The sequence below is a fragment of the Homo sapiens genome, chromosome 17, assembly GCF_000001405.40.
Source record: "Homo sapiens chromosome 17, GRCh38.p14 Primary Assembly".
Lineage (NCBI taxonomy): Eukaryota > Metazoa > Chordata > Mammalia > Primates > Hominidae > Homo > Homo sapiens.
In genome coordinates, this window is record NC_000017.11 from 47,713,592 (window position 1) to 47,729,267 (window position 15,676).

Below are 15,676 nucleotides of genomic sequence, written 5' to 3' on the forward strand. Positions count from 1 at the left end.
GGGGCTGAGAAAATGCAGAGGCAAAGGGGTCTCTAGGCTCCCGGAAAGGGGAAGGGGGTGGGAAAACTGCGGCAGGAGCAAGGCGGAGGGAGGGAAGACCTCTGTCGAGGCTGGAAAGACACACGTGGGGGACCCACTCACTCTCCCAAAGCCAGACATGCAGGGTTGGGGGAAGACAACTTCACAGGGAACAAGCCACCCTCGGGCGCATCGCCACATGCTGTATTAAAGGCCAGTGTCCCACAGTCTCTCCGGCTATGCCCCTTCTCCCCACAGGGTTTCCCCAGCCAGTGCTACTAGGCCATGGAGACCCCTGCCCCTGGCCTGGGTCCCCATGCAGGCTGTGTCAGGAGATCAGCTGAGTGCAGCAACAGCTCCTTTCAGCAGCTGGTGGTGCATGTACGTGCACATGTGTGCGGGACAGTGTATGTTGGGAGCATCGGATCCTAACAAGGGGAGGGGTGTGTGGGTGAGTCAGCCGTGTTAATCAGAAACACCTTACCCAGCTGATTAGGACTAATGAAGAATGGAGTGGGTGGGGGGCTCACTCAGTGACGTCTTTATAGAGTAGGGAAAGCTGGACAGTTCCCCCAGTCCCATCTCTCCCTCTGCAAGGACAAGAACAGACCAACTTTGGCGGCCACAGGAAGAATAGAGGTCAGATATAAGGATGAACCACAAGGGCCGGGCATCCTAGCTGGGAAGGGGCGGGCAAGGTGTCTGAGGCAGCGGCCAGGTAATGTGGGGAAAATGTGTGAAATCCTCCAGCACCTGCCCCTATTCCTGCACTTCCTCCACTTTCTCTGTTTTGACCCCAGAGACATTCTCAGTGCTCAAGGCTGCGCCCCCTGGTTGCCTTCTAAGAGCCAACCCACATCTGCTGCACCGGAGCCCGGTGAGCACGTGAGCCATGCTGTTCAGGAGCCTCCAGCCGTGCCCTTTACACCGCAGCCCAGGACAGAAGGCTCTGGCTTGAGGCACTTACTGGTTTGTGCATTCACTGTTCATGCAGATGCCATGTAGATGCCATGTGGCTCTGTCATGACCAGGGAGGTCTGGCAGGGCTGAGGGCACAAAGGGGCTGCACAGGGGGAACCTGGGCATCAGCTAGAGGCCCTCTCGCACCTGCCCTTCCTTGGGGCAGAGGCAGATGCCCCTGAGAACCCAGTCTCAGCCCACAGCTTCACCCATCCTGCATGCCAATTCAGCCAAGGGCAGAGTCACCAGGCGCATCTCACAGATGTCCCATTCGGCTATGTGAGTGTGGGCATGGGGGAGGGGGAGGGCTGAGGGGACAGGATGGGTGTCGGCCAGCACCTCAAACACCTCCTAATTTGCATTACCACTGACACCCTTCTTGACCAAGAAAATGGAGCCAGAAATAACAAGGGGGGAGGCGGTTCCCTTGAGGGGGACTTTGAGGTTCCCTTTCCTTGCCTCCAACACTCCCACGGTGCAGGGGACAGGAGGTCAGCCCCACAGCAGGGCCCTGGGCAGGGGAAATGCACCTGCTGTGGCTCATCCCTCTCCAGGTTGGGCAGACACCTCTTTCTAGCTTCCCACTTCCCTCAACCCCAAACACCTGAGCCCTGACCTTTCCCTCTTCAGAGCCTTCCCCACTGTCTTTTCCTCTGGGAACCCTCTCCCTGGTGCCCCTCTGGCAGCGGTAATGACCCCAGCTCTACCTAACTGGGGAGTTGTCTCTGCCAGTGTTCTCAGTCTGTGTCCTGCCTTCCCCATCAGACTGGGCATTTCCCAGGGCCAAGGTCTGAACCTCCCCTGCCAATCTGGGACCAGCTCAGTGGACCATTCTACATGGGAAATAGGCCACACAATAGAGCAGAAGAGCTTGCGATGAGATTCTAAAAATGGCATGAGGTAAATCCGGGTCCGGTGTGAGACTGTGGCTGTGTGGTGGGGCAAAGGTAGACCCCCGTCCCCGCAACCCCAGGGACTCCCAGCTCTGTTAGAGGCCTCTGAGTGTCAGGCAATGGGATCCTGGAAGAAAAGGATCAGGACCGTGGCAGCGCGACACTTCTATCCCCTGCCCCAGTGACTGAGGCACAGACTCACAGACACATTTGATGCTCAAACTGTGTGGATTGAATTTACTTCTGTCCCAAAGAGGGGAGGGAATGGTGTGACAGTCACGGCTTGGAAGTGGGAAATGATGGGCCATGGAGAGCAGGCCCCCTCTCTGGCCAAGAGGTCCTGGCACCTGGCAGGGCGAGGTGGAGGCAGAGCAGAAGGGCCTGGCAGGGAAACCAGGTCGTGAGAGACAGTGAGAGAGCTGTGAACGCACTGTGGGAAGGAGAGAACAGTGAACTGAGAACTCCCCCACTCCTCCCTCCAGAGATGCTATTTTAGGGGGAGAAAATATATGCAGCGCAGGGGGCAGGGGTGGGGGAGCAGGCTCTCCATGGGGTCAGCTGGGCTACTGCTGCCCTCCTAGGCATCTTCTTTGGCCCTGGGACACCTAAGCACTTCCTTCCTCTCTGGGAAAGTCTTCTTGTTCCCTTGAGTGTGAGGGTGGAAAGAACGAGCCAGGAGATTTGGAGCTGGCCTCTTGGTACCCTGTGAGGGTCCCTGGGGCCTCAGACCTAGGGGGAAGTTTCTATTTCCGTTGCTTCCTTGGAAGGTGGGTGTGGAGGGCAGACTGTGAGGCAGGCACGGAGCCCGGTTCAGCAGGCCTGAGTACTTCTTGCACCCAACTCCACACTTAGGCACTCTGCGCAGATCCTCCCTTAGTGTCAAGCAGGGGGAGTGAAATTTGGTGTTAGAGGAGGCCAGGGCGAAAGGCGCATCCAGGCCAGCCGAGCTTCCACAGGTGGTTGGACCCCTCCCAATGGGGAGGCTGACCTGCTCCTTGGCCCAAGGAGGCTGGGTGGAGATTGCTATTAGATAGAACCCTTGCTTGGCATGAAGGGAAATTCTTGCACCCCAGTTCAACCCTCTGAAGGGCCCTGACTCATTTTGGGATGAAGGCTCCAATGCCCTGTGGGTTTCTGTGGTGGCTGGGGACAGGGGTGGGCAGGGAGGGTAGGGGATGAACAAAGACTTTTGTTTTCTTTTTTGGAGCTGGGTTGTTTCTCCACCTGATCCAGCTTCACCTGAAGGAGAGCATTGGCTGGAGTGGGAAGAAGACCCAACTTCCAGCCTGGGAGGTGCTGGGCACTGGCTGCAGTAGAAGGAACCTTCGGTTAAACTTTAGGAAGAACTTCCTGCGGACACATTTCCAAAGAAGAACTGAGGGATCCTGTCCCCTGGATGTTCCCCACAGCAGATCCCTAGAGGGATCTGGGAGCTTGGCCTGGCCTTGGGAACAGAGGCAGAGAGATGAACAGAGAGACCCACTGCGGGTGGGGAGTGGGTGGCAGAAGGCTCCAGGCAGGAGGGATGAGGGTGGGTCCAGGCGTGAGAACACACATGTCCCCAGGCCACAGCCTGCGTTGAGGGATCTGAGGTGGAAGAGTACAGGGAGGAAAGGCTACCTCTCCGCACCTCCTCTCACCTGTCCTGTCTTCCTGCTTTTCTTCTTCTGGCCTTATGGGCCAGGGCAGAGAGGGGGTGGGAAGAAACGGCTCTGGTCCTTCTACCCGTTCCTCCCTTGAGCAAGAGGCCTGCAGGACTTCTTGGTGGGGAGACTGAGATGAAACCTCATTTGGAGCCTCAAAGGTCAATGCAACAGTGGAGCCAAGTCCCCTGGGGTAGAGCAGCTGGAGGCAGCCAATGAGGCGAGAGGCAGGGGACCATGTCACTTTGAAGGGATGCCCATGCCAGGCCTCCAGCCCAGAGGTGAGAAGGTGGCCAGGCTGACTGAATAATGATCTTGCCCCTCCCCTTTCATGGGGCCCTTGGCCTTGTGGGTGTTGCAGGAGCCGAACTCTCCCTTCTCCCCACAGACAGCAAAAGCACACTGTGGATGGGAGGTGAGGGGGAGGATCAGGAGATGGTGTGAAAGAAATAGTTCACCCCTGCATGGGTGAGGGGGAAGGGAGAGGACAGTGCCCCCTGGTGCTGGCCTCTGTGTGTGCCCAGCACACACACACAACTCACATGAGGGATCAGAGAGCCCTATGCCCACCTGGACACTCCACTCCTTCCCAGACTGGCAAATGGTTGTGCCTGAGGACAGAAGCAGTGCAGAGGTGAGACTTCGCACAGGGTCTCAGGACTCCCTGCGTCCTCTGAGCTCAGAGGTGTGTGTCTCTGATCTCAGGTGCTGCCCTAGTCCCCCACAGTGGGCACAGGTGGGTCTCCTTCCCACGGATGGTCAAGCAGTTGCATTGTCACCACACCACCCTCCAGACTCACCCTGTCACATCACCCCAGATACACAAAGCACACGGACCGACCCAGTTCCATGCTCATCCCTTCCCCACCTACCAGGCTTCCAGGGACACCCACGTGCAGGGACACACTCCTCCCAACACACACAGCCAGGATCACAGTGCCACACAGGTGTGTCCCACGTGCCACAGGAACCGAGGAATAGTGCACACTAACACATGCATGGAAATCCCACACCCATATGCAGACGCGTACACTCCTGGCTCTGAAGCTGACCTCATTATCCAGTGGTGTGCTGGCAAATGTTTAACAACCAGCTCTCCAATGTAAGCTACCTCAGCACTGAGCACTGGGAAGAGATACTCATAATTGGCTCTTGAGAGCTGGCATGAGCCAGCTCCAGCCCACCACTCCATTATCCTTCATAGAAATCACATGATAAAACTTAAAACGCAGCTGGGCAGCCCCAAGGAGGGCTGCACCTGGGCAGCAGTGACTCATCAGGGCAGCTTTTTTCCCCGTGGGAGTGCCTCCCCTTCCCTAGCTTCACGCACCTCCCCACTCCTGTCTGGACCCCACTTCCTGCCCCTCTCATTCCTCCTCCTTCCTCTCTGTCACTCAGGGCTGTGAGCTGTGGCTGGTACTCAGGCACATCTCGTTCATCCTTTCTCTCTCTGCCATGGCTGAGGCCACCAGGTGTGGAGGGTGACAGGCTCATTCCTAATTCTAGTAGGCTTCCTGGAGGAAGAGGACACGGCAATGCCATATGTTACCAAAATGCTGTAGCTGTCTGTGCCTGGGCTGCCACTGACCTGTATCCACATCCTTGAGCCAAGTCCATTCCTCTTTACTTTCTTCTTCTGTCTGGTCATGAGGACAAGGGGTCTGGTTTACACTGAAAATTGTGAGAAGGGGAGGGAATTCTCAGCTTGCAGGGTAGCGAAGGAAGCCGTTTAGAGCCTGTTCTGAGAGTGAGCACCTCTGGTTCTAGCCGCACTCTGTGAACACTGTGCGGTTTCTCAGTGCTTCTGTTCCTCAGTGGACTAGGTGGTTTAATTTCCATCACGGCTCTGACATTTTGGCATTCTATATTTCTGAGATTACTCCAAACTCCACTCAGCAGGAAGCTTCCCTTAGAGCTAATCTTGATCTCTTTCCCTGTAGCTCATGAGGGAGGTGACAGATGTGGTTCGGGAGTATACCTGGGGGACTCAGGGGCCTCTGCTCTTGGTTGTGACTCCTAGATTATTCCTGCCAGGCACACATGTAATGGGGCAGGGGCAGAGAGAGAAGGAGAGAGAGAGGAGGGAATAAGGAAGGAAGAGAAAGGAAAGGAAGAAAAGAGGGAAGGAAAGAAAAATGAAAGAGGGAAAGAGAAAGGAAGTGAAATGATATGAAAGAAGAAAGGAGGGGAAATGAAGGAAAACAAAAGAGAAAAGCAAAGCAAAAGGGCTCATCGTGGATGCAGAAAGCAGCCAGCCTTGCCAGTAAAGTAGCCAGGGGTACATGGAGGGGATACAGAAGGCTGTTTCTGGTTGTTGCAAACCCTGTCTGTGTGAATCTGTAAAGTGGGTGCAGTTCTGGGTCTTGCTGAGCCTTGGGCTGGGTCGTGCTAGGGCAGAGTGCTCTGGGCAGGGGCTGGGGTCCGGGAGTCAGCCCACTCCTCTGCCCAGGGCCTCCTGCCACTGCTTTGCTGCTCCTTCTGAAAACAACTGAAACCGCAAAATTGGCTTGTGGTCGGGTGACTATCAGTCACTGCTATTCAGCTTGGCTTCCTAGGATGACTAAGGGGGTTAAAAGTCCCTCCCATTAGCCCCCCAGATTTTCAGGGGAGTCAGAGGCCAAGACAGAACATTGTTTTCTTTGGAGGCTTTTGCTAGGGTCTGAGTTCCCAAGTGGCAGGGCCTGCGCGCACTGTGTCTCGCAATGTCTGTGGGTTCAGGAGCTGGGGGGTCACCAAGGTGGAGGTAGCAGTATCCCTGGGCTTGCACACCCAGCAGCTTGGAGTGGGGAGGGGTTGGGGTGGAGGACGCCTGGGTCATCAAAAGAGTCTCCTTTCAACATGCCTCTTCTGGTCCCAGTTCTCGGGGTAGCTAAGCTGCTGATGCTGCTAGTGGGACTGGGTATCATGGGTCCCCTTGGCAGGGCCTGGGCACCAGCTAGGCAGCCCAGCTGCTTGAGCTGCAGAGAGTGCTGGAACTGCCCCTGCTGTGCTGAACATCCCAGGTGCTGGGTCCTCCTGATTCCCCATGGGGTTAGAAAATTCACAACCTGGGAGGCAGGAGGGTGGGCTCTACAGGGTTCTGTATTCCCTTTTAGTGGCTCTGAGCCGTCTTGCTCTGACTCGATTTCTCCTTGAGATGAAAGGCTTGGATTATCTCAGCACTGACCTTTCGCGTATCTGTGATGCTAGAGAAGAAAGGGAAAAGGCAACCACTTTGTAGACCCGCAGGCCCCCTCACCACACTGCCCGGCTATCCAGAAGGTCCTGCCCACATCCAGCGCTGCCCTCCTCTCTCTTTGTGACTGCCCGTGGTCTCAGTTTCTCTCTTTCCCTCTCTTTCTTTCTCCCTCTGTCCTGCTCACTTTCTGTTTAGGCTCCCTCATACTCCCCCCACCCCTGACAGCGAGGTGCACGTGAGTTCTTCTGATTGCTGACCTAGACCTTCCTAACCACTCCCCGGCTGGGTTCAATTTCCCCAAGGGGTGAGACCCTCCCCAAACTCTCCCACCTACATCCAGGGTCTAGGGGTGGAGTTTTGATATCTCTTTGAGCCCTCAAACAGATGGGAAGGTTGAGGGTCTGCATGGCACGTCTGTGACCTGCCCCCACCAGGCCGAGGGTCCTCTGCTGGGAGGAGGAGCCAGTTTTCTGAGAGGGAGGTGCCGGTATCCTCAGAGACTCCTGAATTCCCAACCCTTCCCTCCCGAGGTGGGCGGGTCTCCTCACAGGGAGGCGGAGGGAATCCGCTTAATACCCAGGGATCAATGCCAAGCGGGGGAGCGGGACGCCGATCAGACATGTGACTCGGGAGGCATGATGAGCACGTGCAGACCCAGAACGTGTGAAGAACATACGTGTGGAAAAAGTTTGTGTCACTGATAGGCACATCAGAGGCATGACACCTTCCTTCCCTCCTCCACCCGCCCTCTCCCTCGGGGGGCTAGAGGGCCCCCCTACATACCAACCACACACGTGTTTTAAGTGTGTGTGCACACGCACACATGCAGCCGTCTGGAAGAGCATGGCCGGGGAGCTGGGCTGGAGGGGTGGAGGGGGAAGGGAGAGGAAGGCAGGGTCGCCCCACCCCCACCCCGTGCCCGTGCCTACCGAGTGCCGCCTCCCGGTGGCTGGTGAGGTCTCTGCCCCCTTGACTTTTCCCTGCTTCGAGGAAACACCTCCCTTTAGGGGAAAGCGAGATGGTGAGGGGAAGGAGGGGAAGCACTGACTCTCGGCAGAGGCATGAGCCTGATTTTCCAGTCCGGGGAGGGGCGGAGGGAGATGGCACTGGGGACGCCCGGGCGATGGGGCCTGACTCAGAGCCAGAACCACAGGGCTCCTCCGCTGTATTGTCGTCGGGGAACTAGAAGCCACCAGGTTTATAAGAAACTGCAATTCATCTCTGCCCTCTTCCACCCCTCTGCAAGGGATCAAGGTTAGACTAGAAGAAGAACTTATAGCCCGGGGCAAGAAAGGGACTCTGCCTCAGGTGATTTTTTTGGAAGCCTTCCCTGGGTTTCTTCGAGAAGAAGGGCCTGCCCCAAGGGGGTTAGATCGTAAGAAGAGCCTGGGGCCAGGGCGTGGGGCCCCCCATTTCCCTGTTTGTTGTCAAGGAAAGCCCCCTCCTCACTTCCAGCCCGGAACAGGAGCTCCTAAGAGCTGTCGACAGAGCTACTGCTGAGGCTGCGGCAGGGGCATACAGGGATCCCCAGAATCCCAGGCAGTCTGGCTGGCATGGAGGGGATGAGGCAGCTGGTGGCTCCACTTGGCTCTGCTGCCTCACTCTTGGCCACTGGCTCACGTGTCCCAAGGTGAAAAGCAAGAGGGAGGAGAGTGCAGGTTCGATTAGCAGGAGGGCAGAGCAGAAGGTGTGATGAACTTAGGCGTGGGCAGAAAGACGGAAGCACTGCCTGGCAGGGCACATGCCCAGTGGCATTCTCTTCCCATTCTAGGAGCTGCCCAGGCCCCTTCCCTCCTCAGGCAGAAACACCTAACAGCTTGGATGGCTGGCAGTGGGCTCCGTTGCCTGGGGCAGGGAGTTTGGAGAAGTGAGGAAGGCTCCTGCCTCTCACTCCACCTGGAAACCAGGACTCCTGGGTCCTTCCCATCTGGACTCATCTTCCTCCACTGCCACAGTGGCTGCTGTGTGACGAAGCTAGTCCCTGCCCCTTTCGGTCTCTCAGCCCTGCTTCCCCACTCCTACCCCATCAGCAGGATGGGATTTGCTGAGTAACGGGGTCGGGTTCTGCAGGGTCATCAGACAGAAAGGACACCAGGAGAGGTGAGAAGAGGCCTGGGTTGAGGGAAGGGTAATGTCAATTAGGACACCAGGATGACTTCCCAAAACATAGGGGAACACTCACTGGGTGACATAGAGGGCCCTTCCATCTTGCCTTTCTCCAGAGGGAATAAGGAGAAGGACTCAGCCCGGGTTGGGTTGGGTACCTTATAAGGAGAGAGGGTCAGGGGATAAAAATAACTGAGAGCCTGGGAAAATTGTGTCACCTCTCTGAGCACCAGCTTCTCATCTGCAAAATGGGAACGATAGTGTCCTCTTCACACAGGTGTGGGAGGCTCCACTCAGGAAAGTGCACAGTAAGTGTTCATTAGGTCACCAGCCATGTGATCTTGACAAGGTATTTAACTTTTCTTTTTTTTTTTGAGACAGAATCTCTGTCTGTTGCCCAGGCTGGAGAGCAATGGCACGATCTCGGCTCAGTGCAGCCTCTGCCTCCTGGGTTCAAGCAATTATCCTGTCTCAGCCTCTTAGTATCTGGGATTACAGGCATGTGCCATCACGCCCGGCTAATTTTTGTGTTTTTAGTAGAGATGGAGTTTCACCATATTGGCCAGGCTGATCTCGAACTCCTGACCTCCAGTGATACACCCATCTCAGCCTCCCAAAGTGCTGGGATTACAGGCATGAGCCACTGTGCCCAGCTGGTACTTAACTTTTTTTTTTTTGAGATGGAGTCTCGCTCTGTCACCAGGCTGTAGTGCAGTGGCACAATCCCAGATCACTGCAACCTCCAACTCCCTCGTTCAAGCAATTCTCCTGCCTCAGCCTCCTGAGTAGCTGGGACTACAGGCGCGTGCCACCACACCAGGTAATTTTTGTATTTTTAGTAGAGACGGGGTTTCACCATGTTGGCCAGGATGGTCTCAATCTCCTGACCCTGTGATCCTCCCGCCTCGGCCTCCCAAAGTGCTGGGATTACAGACATGAGCCACTGTGCCTGGCTGATACTTAACTTTTTTATATCTCAGTTTCCTTGTCTGTAAAATGGGAACAATGGTTCCCACCCAGTTGCCTTCACACCATTGTGAAGTCTAATGAAATCAAAGGTATATTGACTAGTCTTAACCAAAAAAAAAAAAAAAAAAAAGAAGAGAGAGAGAGAGAAAGAAAGAAAGGAAATAAAGGGTACGAGTTGCCTGGGGATGTTCTTTTTTTTTTTTTTTTTGACAGTCTCTCTCTGTTGCCCAGGCTGGAGTGCAGTGGTACAGCCTCAGCTCACTGCAACCTCCGCCTCCCGGGTCCAAGCAATTCTCCTGCCTCAGCCTCCCTAGTAGGTGGGATTACAGGCACCTACCACCACGACCAGATAGGTTTTTTTGTATTTTTAGTAGAGATGGGGTTTCACCATGTTGGTCAGGCTGGTTTCGAACTCCTGATCTCAAGTGATCTGCCCACTTCGGCCTCCCAAAGTGCTAGGATTACAGGCATGAGCCACTATGCCTGGCCGGGATATTCTCTTATCTCATCCTTTACCCCTCAACCCAGAGTGGTGATAGGAGGAGGGGGTTAATTAGGAAGAACTGGGGTTTTTACAGTTTCCAAACTCACTGGGAGTCAAGGATTGAGACAAAGTACAAGCTAGATTTGGCAACATCCAGGGTCATGCATGGGAACCTGGGAGCCCCATGCCCCACTGCCTATTTGCAGGGCCCTGGGTCTTGGGTGGCCCTAGTTCAGTGTGTGCATGTGTGTGAAATGCAAGGTGATGAGGTCAGTATCTCAACTCCCAGTTACTGGTCCAGTTGCTAAGAACTTGCCTGACCATAACCATCCTTTCCCAACTCACAGAATGTCAGGTTCTGATGCCAGTGATTGGAAAGAAATGGCGGTGAGCAAGGAGAGGGGGCAATGCTGGGCAGCCATGCCACCTTTATGTCCCCTGTGGCCAGAGACGTGGGTCCAGGGCCCTTCTCAGTGCCCAGCTCGGTCCAGCCAGCTGCCCATGGCCCTGGTGGGAGGAGGTAGGCTGGACGCCTTCTGACACTTCCTGGGTAACTGAGCGGGGCAAGCAGCAAACAGCAGGCTCCTGGGGAAATCTCAGACTTGTGTGTCAGAGCGGATCTGTGTCTGGGGTGGTAAGTGGGGTTAAACTCAAGGTCAGACCTAGCCAATCCATTTTCGCGCCAACATGGCCTTGGGTGTCCTCCATTCCAGTGGCTGGGACCCAGGTGCCCACTCAGCTGGAGACAGCACTGCTGGGAGCCTAATGCCTGGTTTGTCCCTCTGCTTCACACACTGGTTGCTTGCCTGATTTCTGCCTGTGCCTAGGATTTATAAGGAAGGGAGTTGTGGCATGTGGATCCCAGGCCTCCGTTCTACTCCCAAATTTCAGGTGCTAATCTCTCCATGAGTTTCAGTGACCTCAGAAAAGGAAATGGGATTAAGCTGCAATTTAAGGGGTTGTGGGAAGACAGCTGAAAGAATGTCCCAGTCTTCAGTAGAGGAGGTGGGAGGTGGCTGTAAACTGCCTAAATCGGGGGAACACTACCAGGAATCTCAAATTGCTGTACAATGCAGACACAGTCAATCAGCCTCCACCTACTTAGATCTCTAAGTGCTTAGAGATCACCAACCTGTCCCAGGCTCCTGAGTCTATTACCTCACTCCTCCTTGTTCTCTGCCTTTCCCAGGCTACTGTGGTTATGATTTGTGGCAGAAGTTGGGAAGGCAGAAAAGGAGAGAAGGAGGGAAAAGGACAATCTGAGAACAAGCTGGAGGGCCAAAGTGGACCCCTTGCAGAGTTGGCAAGATGGCAAAGGGGATGCAGTGGCAGGTGAATTAGTTCAGATGGGCAAGAAATGTAGGATAAGTCAGCAAGCTGCCTTTGCGCAGGAGATCCCTAGGTGAGAAGGTAAGAAGGGCTTCCACATGCGGCAGTAGCCTCAGTGTTTCTGGAATGGAGTTTGTATATATGTTGTGGGTGGGGTAGGGGGAACAGAAGAAGAGCTGCAGCATCCTGCCTTTGAGGAGGAAGATGGTACAACAGGAAGGCCAGGAGGTGGGCTGCAGGTAAAATGTCCCCGTGAGACAGGGTTGAGGGAAGCAGAGGGCCAGCTGCTGGGCCTGCAGCCTTCTTGCCCCCACTCCCAGCTCACCCGCCCACTGCAAACACTCCTCAGCTCCCCCACCCCATTCTGGCCCACAGCCCTGGGGAAGCGACATGGCGTTCTCACCACGGACCCAGTGCCGGCTGTGGCTTCTTCCCTCTGACCTATTTTTTAATCATTTGATGGGATTTTTCCCCCCCAAACCAAACCCCCAGCCCCCTGGGCCCGTCAGCTCCACCGCGTGTCAAAACCACCCCTGTCACTTTGCGTTGGTTTCTCAGTCCAGCCAGCCCCTCCCCGCAGGGCCTGAGAGCGATGGCTAATTACCCAGCTGCTGAACGCCCCCCACTCCTGCCCCTCCACCCCTAGCCCTGACAGAGGGGCCCTGGAGGACTGCTGGGAGAAGCTGGGGCCTCCTCACCCTCCCACTGCTTGGCAGGAAGTCCTTCCTGCTGTCTAACCTCCATTCTTCCCTCTGTCCTGCCCCTAGTGGTGCTGAATCGCAGACACAGAGGCTGTTGGTACTATAAGGGTCTTTGGGATACCTCCTTAAGGGACAGAAAGGGGCAACTAGTCTTCTGTCCTGGGTTTAGGGATGTCTTCTGTCACTCTGGCTCTCTAACAGAATTCTAGGGGATGGTCCTTGCTGTCTCATTTTACAGAGCAGAAAACTGCGACACACAGAGGGAAAGGGCCTAGCCCAAGGTGATCTACGCCAGTGGCGGAGCCAGAATCAGAACCTAGAGTTCCATGTTTGTCTTTCCACCTGTTTCTGGGTCCTGTTTCTGGTATGTAGAGGGCCCACCCCCACATACCAACTAGGTCTGTTTCTGTTTCTGTGCAACTCCGCTGCCAGCCCTGAGCAGGTGTGTTCCCTGCCATGCCCTCTCTCCCTTGCCCCCTGGCCACACAGAGCTTCACCCTGGCATTTCAGGGCTGGGCAGCTTGCTTCAGGCACTATTTAGGAATGGGACTCTTTCCCCCAATACCACCCATGCCCTTTTCCCTCTTCCTCTCTCATTCATCCCTAACCAAGTCCGTAAGTCTGCTCTGTCTCACCCGCACCCTGAGACATTAACCAGGTGGACAAGGCAAAAAGCTCTAGGCCAGACACAGGAAGGCCAGAGCCAACTCACAGATGAGGCCTAGTCCCAGATGGACAGATAGACATGCAGGAGATACATGGAGCGCTGGATAGCCCTGGAGACACGGACAGTGACATGAAGATGCAGAGACAGACACAAACACGCTACAGAGACAAGGCAAGTTCCGAGGCCCACAGGTAACAGACAGACACAGAGACGCAGACAGAGGCACAGAACCTACACTCAGGACCAGCGTGCAGACCTCTCACAGGTCCCAGGGATAGGAGTGGACGTAAAGAGGATACACAAGACGCAGGCAAAAACACAGGGACCCAGAGAGGGGCCGAATCAGACCAGAGGAACCCAGACACTCAGGAGCCCTGAGAGACATGGGCACACAGGGCTGCCCACAGATCCCAGGAAGCCAGAGAGAACCTTGGGGAGAGAGGAGGCCCCAGGGGGTGGGTGGCCCTCTGAAGGACAGCGAGGCCTGGCCTGGCAGAGCCTGACTGTGCCAGGAAGTCATGCCAAGATGGCAAGATGGGAAGCAGAGAGGAGCTTGGCAGCGTGGGGGTTAACCCCTCAGCCTGTGCCCTCCCTCCAAGTCCCTTTTCCTTGGCTCTTCTTTTTCTTCCCTCCTCTCCCAGCTCCTTTTACCCAAAGCCCTGGATATTTCCCGCCTCCCCAGCCCAACTCCTGGTAACCAGACCCTGCTTCCTGCCTGAGATTAAGGGCCTGTCTGCTGAGAGGCAGGAAGGGTGGGGGCACAGCCTCTCCCCAGTGCCTCCTGAAGCTTGGGCTTGCCCATCCATACTGTGGCATGCCCTCCTGATAACAGAGTTACCCAAGTACCTGATGTCTGAATATCCCTTCAGGAGGGCGCAGGAGCCCTAGCCTGGGAGTGCAGCGGGGGCGGCCTACTGCATGCGTGGGTGTGCATGGAGGGTGTGGGTCTTATGTGAAATGCTGGCAGGGGTGAGAGCAGCTAGAGATAGAGAGAGGATAGATGATTCAAAATAAGATGCCACGGAGAAGGAGGACTGAAAGGCACCCAGGCCTGGCCTGGAGCCCAGGGGTAAGGGCCGCTCAGGCTTGGTGGGGGGTGTGTGGGGAAGGGTGACCCAGCCTGCAGATGAGAGCCTGGAGCCCTTGACCTTGGGAGGAGCCCTCTGTTCTGTGTTCACACTGACCACCTGGTGCTGGGTGCTGGGGACTCGGAACTCCTGCAGCTGTCACGGGGCGGGGGGGTTCTACAGGTGCTTGTCCCTCCCCTTCCCCCCTCTCTGGCTGTTAATCTGATGGTTCCGGCCATGCCCTCTGAAGGACTGGCAGTCTGGGCCCAGAGGGGGAGGGGATTCAGGGCACGCGGGGTGGGCAGAGTCAGATGCTGAAGGAGCTCTGGGATGCTGGATGTGGGGCAAGAGCAGGCGGTGGGGCTGCAGGGACTGGATCGCAGAGATTTCCCTAGCATAGCTCTGCATGGGGTGTGTGTGCACATGCGTGGATGATGGCGTGTGTGCACGTGGTGTGTTGTGAGTCTACACCCCAGGAGCAAGAGGGCTGAGGGGGTCACTTTGCTAGGAGCTCTTTGGGGGCAGGGACTGACCCTAATTTATCTTTGTGATCCCAGATCTCCAAGGGCCTGGCTTATCCCAGCGCTCAGGTACCCAGGGAATGGTATATGGGTATCAGGAGGGGAAGCCTGTCCCTTTCTAATATGTGAGTCTTATGAACAGAGGGGCTCTCTTTTGGCCCCAGGCCCTGAGTGGAGGCTGAGGATGGACCTGAAGGACACTTTGTGGATGAGCCACTAAGCCAGAGGGAGGAAAGGGCAGGTGTAAGTGGCTGGGAGTAGAGGAAAGAGGGCTTAGCACAGTTTATGCCTCTGTTTTGTTTCAGCCTTAGGACAGCATCCCTCAACCTTCACATGACAGACCCAGTCAGTCCTGGCAGAGGTCTGATAGCTCCATTTACTGACAAAAAAAACCCAGAGAGGTTAAGATACTTTAATAGGTAGCACAGCCAGTAAGGGTTGGGATTGAGGTTCCAACCCAGCCACCCAACTAAGTCTCCCCACCCCATTTCTCTCTGCCCCAGCTCCAGCACCCCCAGGCCTCTCTGCCTCTGCAGACTTTCCTCCCATTGGCCCATCTCTGTCTGTCTCCTTTCTTTCATGCCCCTCTCGCAGGCCCAGCCTGAGACTTTCCCACTGAGTCACGATCTGGGTCCCTGACTTTGTGGTCCCTGTCCCTCTCTGGGTCTAAATCTTTCTTTCAGAAATGCACCCTAAGCCTCTCACTTTGCTCTCTCTTTCTTTTCACGCCTTCTCCCCAACTCGCTGCCCCCTCTCTTTTACTATCTACCCTCTCACAGCCTCTAAGGCTCTGCCCAGCAGGGTGGAGGGTGGAAATCCTGGGTCCTGGTGCCATGCCATGCTCCACTAACAGTTTCCAGTAGGCTGGGCGTGGTGGCTGATGCCTGTAATCCCAACACTTTGGGAGGCTGAGGCGGGCAGATCACGAGGTCAGGAGATCGAGACCAGCCTGGCCAACATGGTGAAACCCCATCTCTACTAAAAATACAAAAAATTAGCCGGTCGTGGTGGCATGTGCCTCTAGTCCCACCCACCACGGGAGGCTGAGGCAGGAGAATTGCTTGAACCCGGGAGGTGGAGGTTGCAGTGAGCTGAGATCGCACCACTGCACTCCAGCCTGGGTGACAGAGCAAGTGACTC

At 55.7% G+C, this 15,676-nt stretch overlaps 2 annotated features.

Annotated features, from left to right (window-relative positions):
* Window positions 516–1,017: an enhancer, noted in NCBI's record as "H3K4me1 hESC enhancer chr17:45791473-45791974 (GRCh37/hg19 assembly coordinates)". NCBI's record gives its function as "activates a minimal SCP1, AML or CMV promoter by ChIP-STARR-seq in naive H9 embryonic stem cells {active_cell/tissue: H9 hESC(naive)}" and the evidence as "EXISTENCE:reporter gene assay evidence [ECO:0000049][PMID:30033119]".
* Window positions 1,018–1,517: an enhancer, noted in NCBI's record as "H3K4me1 hESC enhancer chr17:45791975-45792474 (GRCh37/hg19 assembly coordinates)". NCBI's record gives its function as "activates a minimal SCP1, AML or CMV promoter by ChIP-STARR-seq in naive H9 embryonic stem cells {active_cell/tissue: H9 hESC(naive)}" and the evidence as "EXISTENCE:reporter gene assay evidence [ECO:0000049][PMID:30033119]".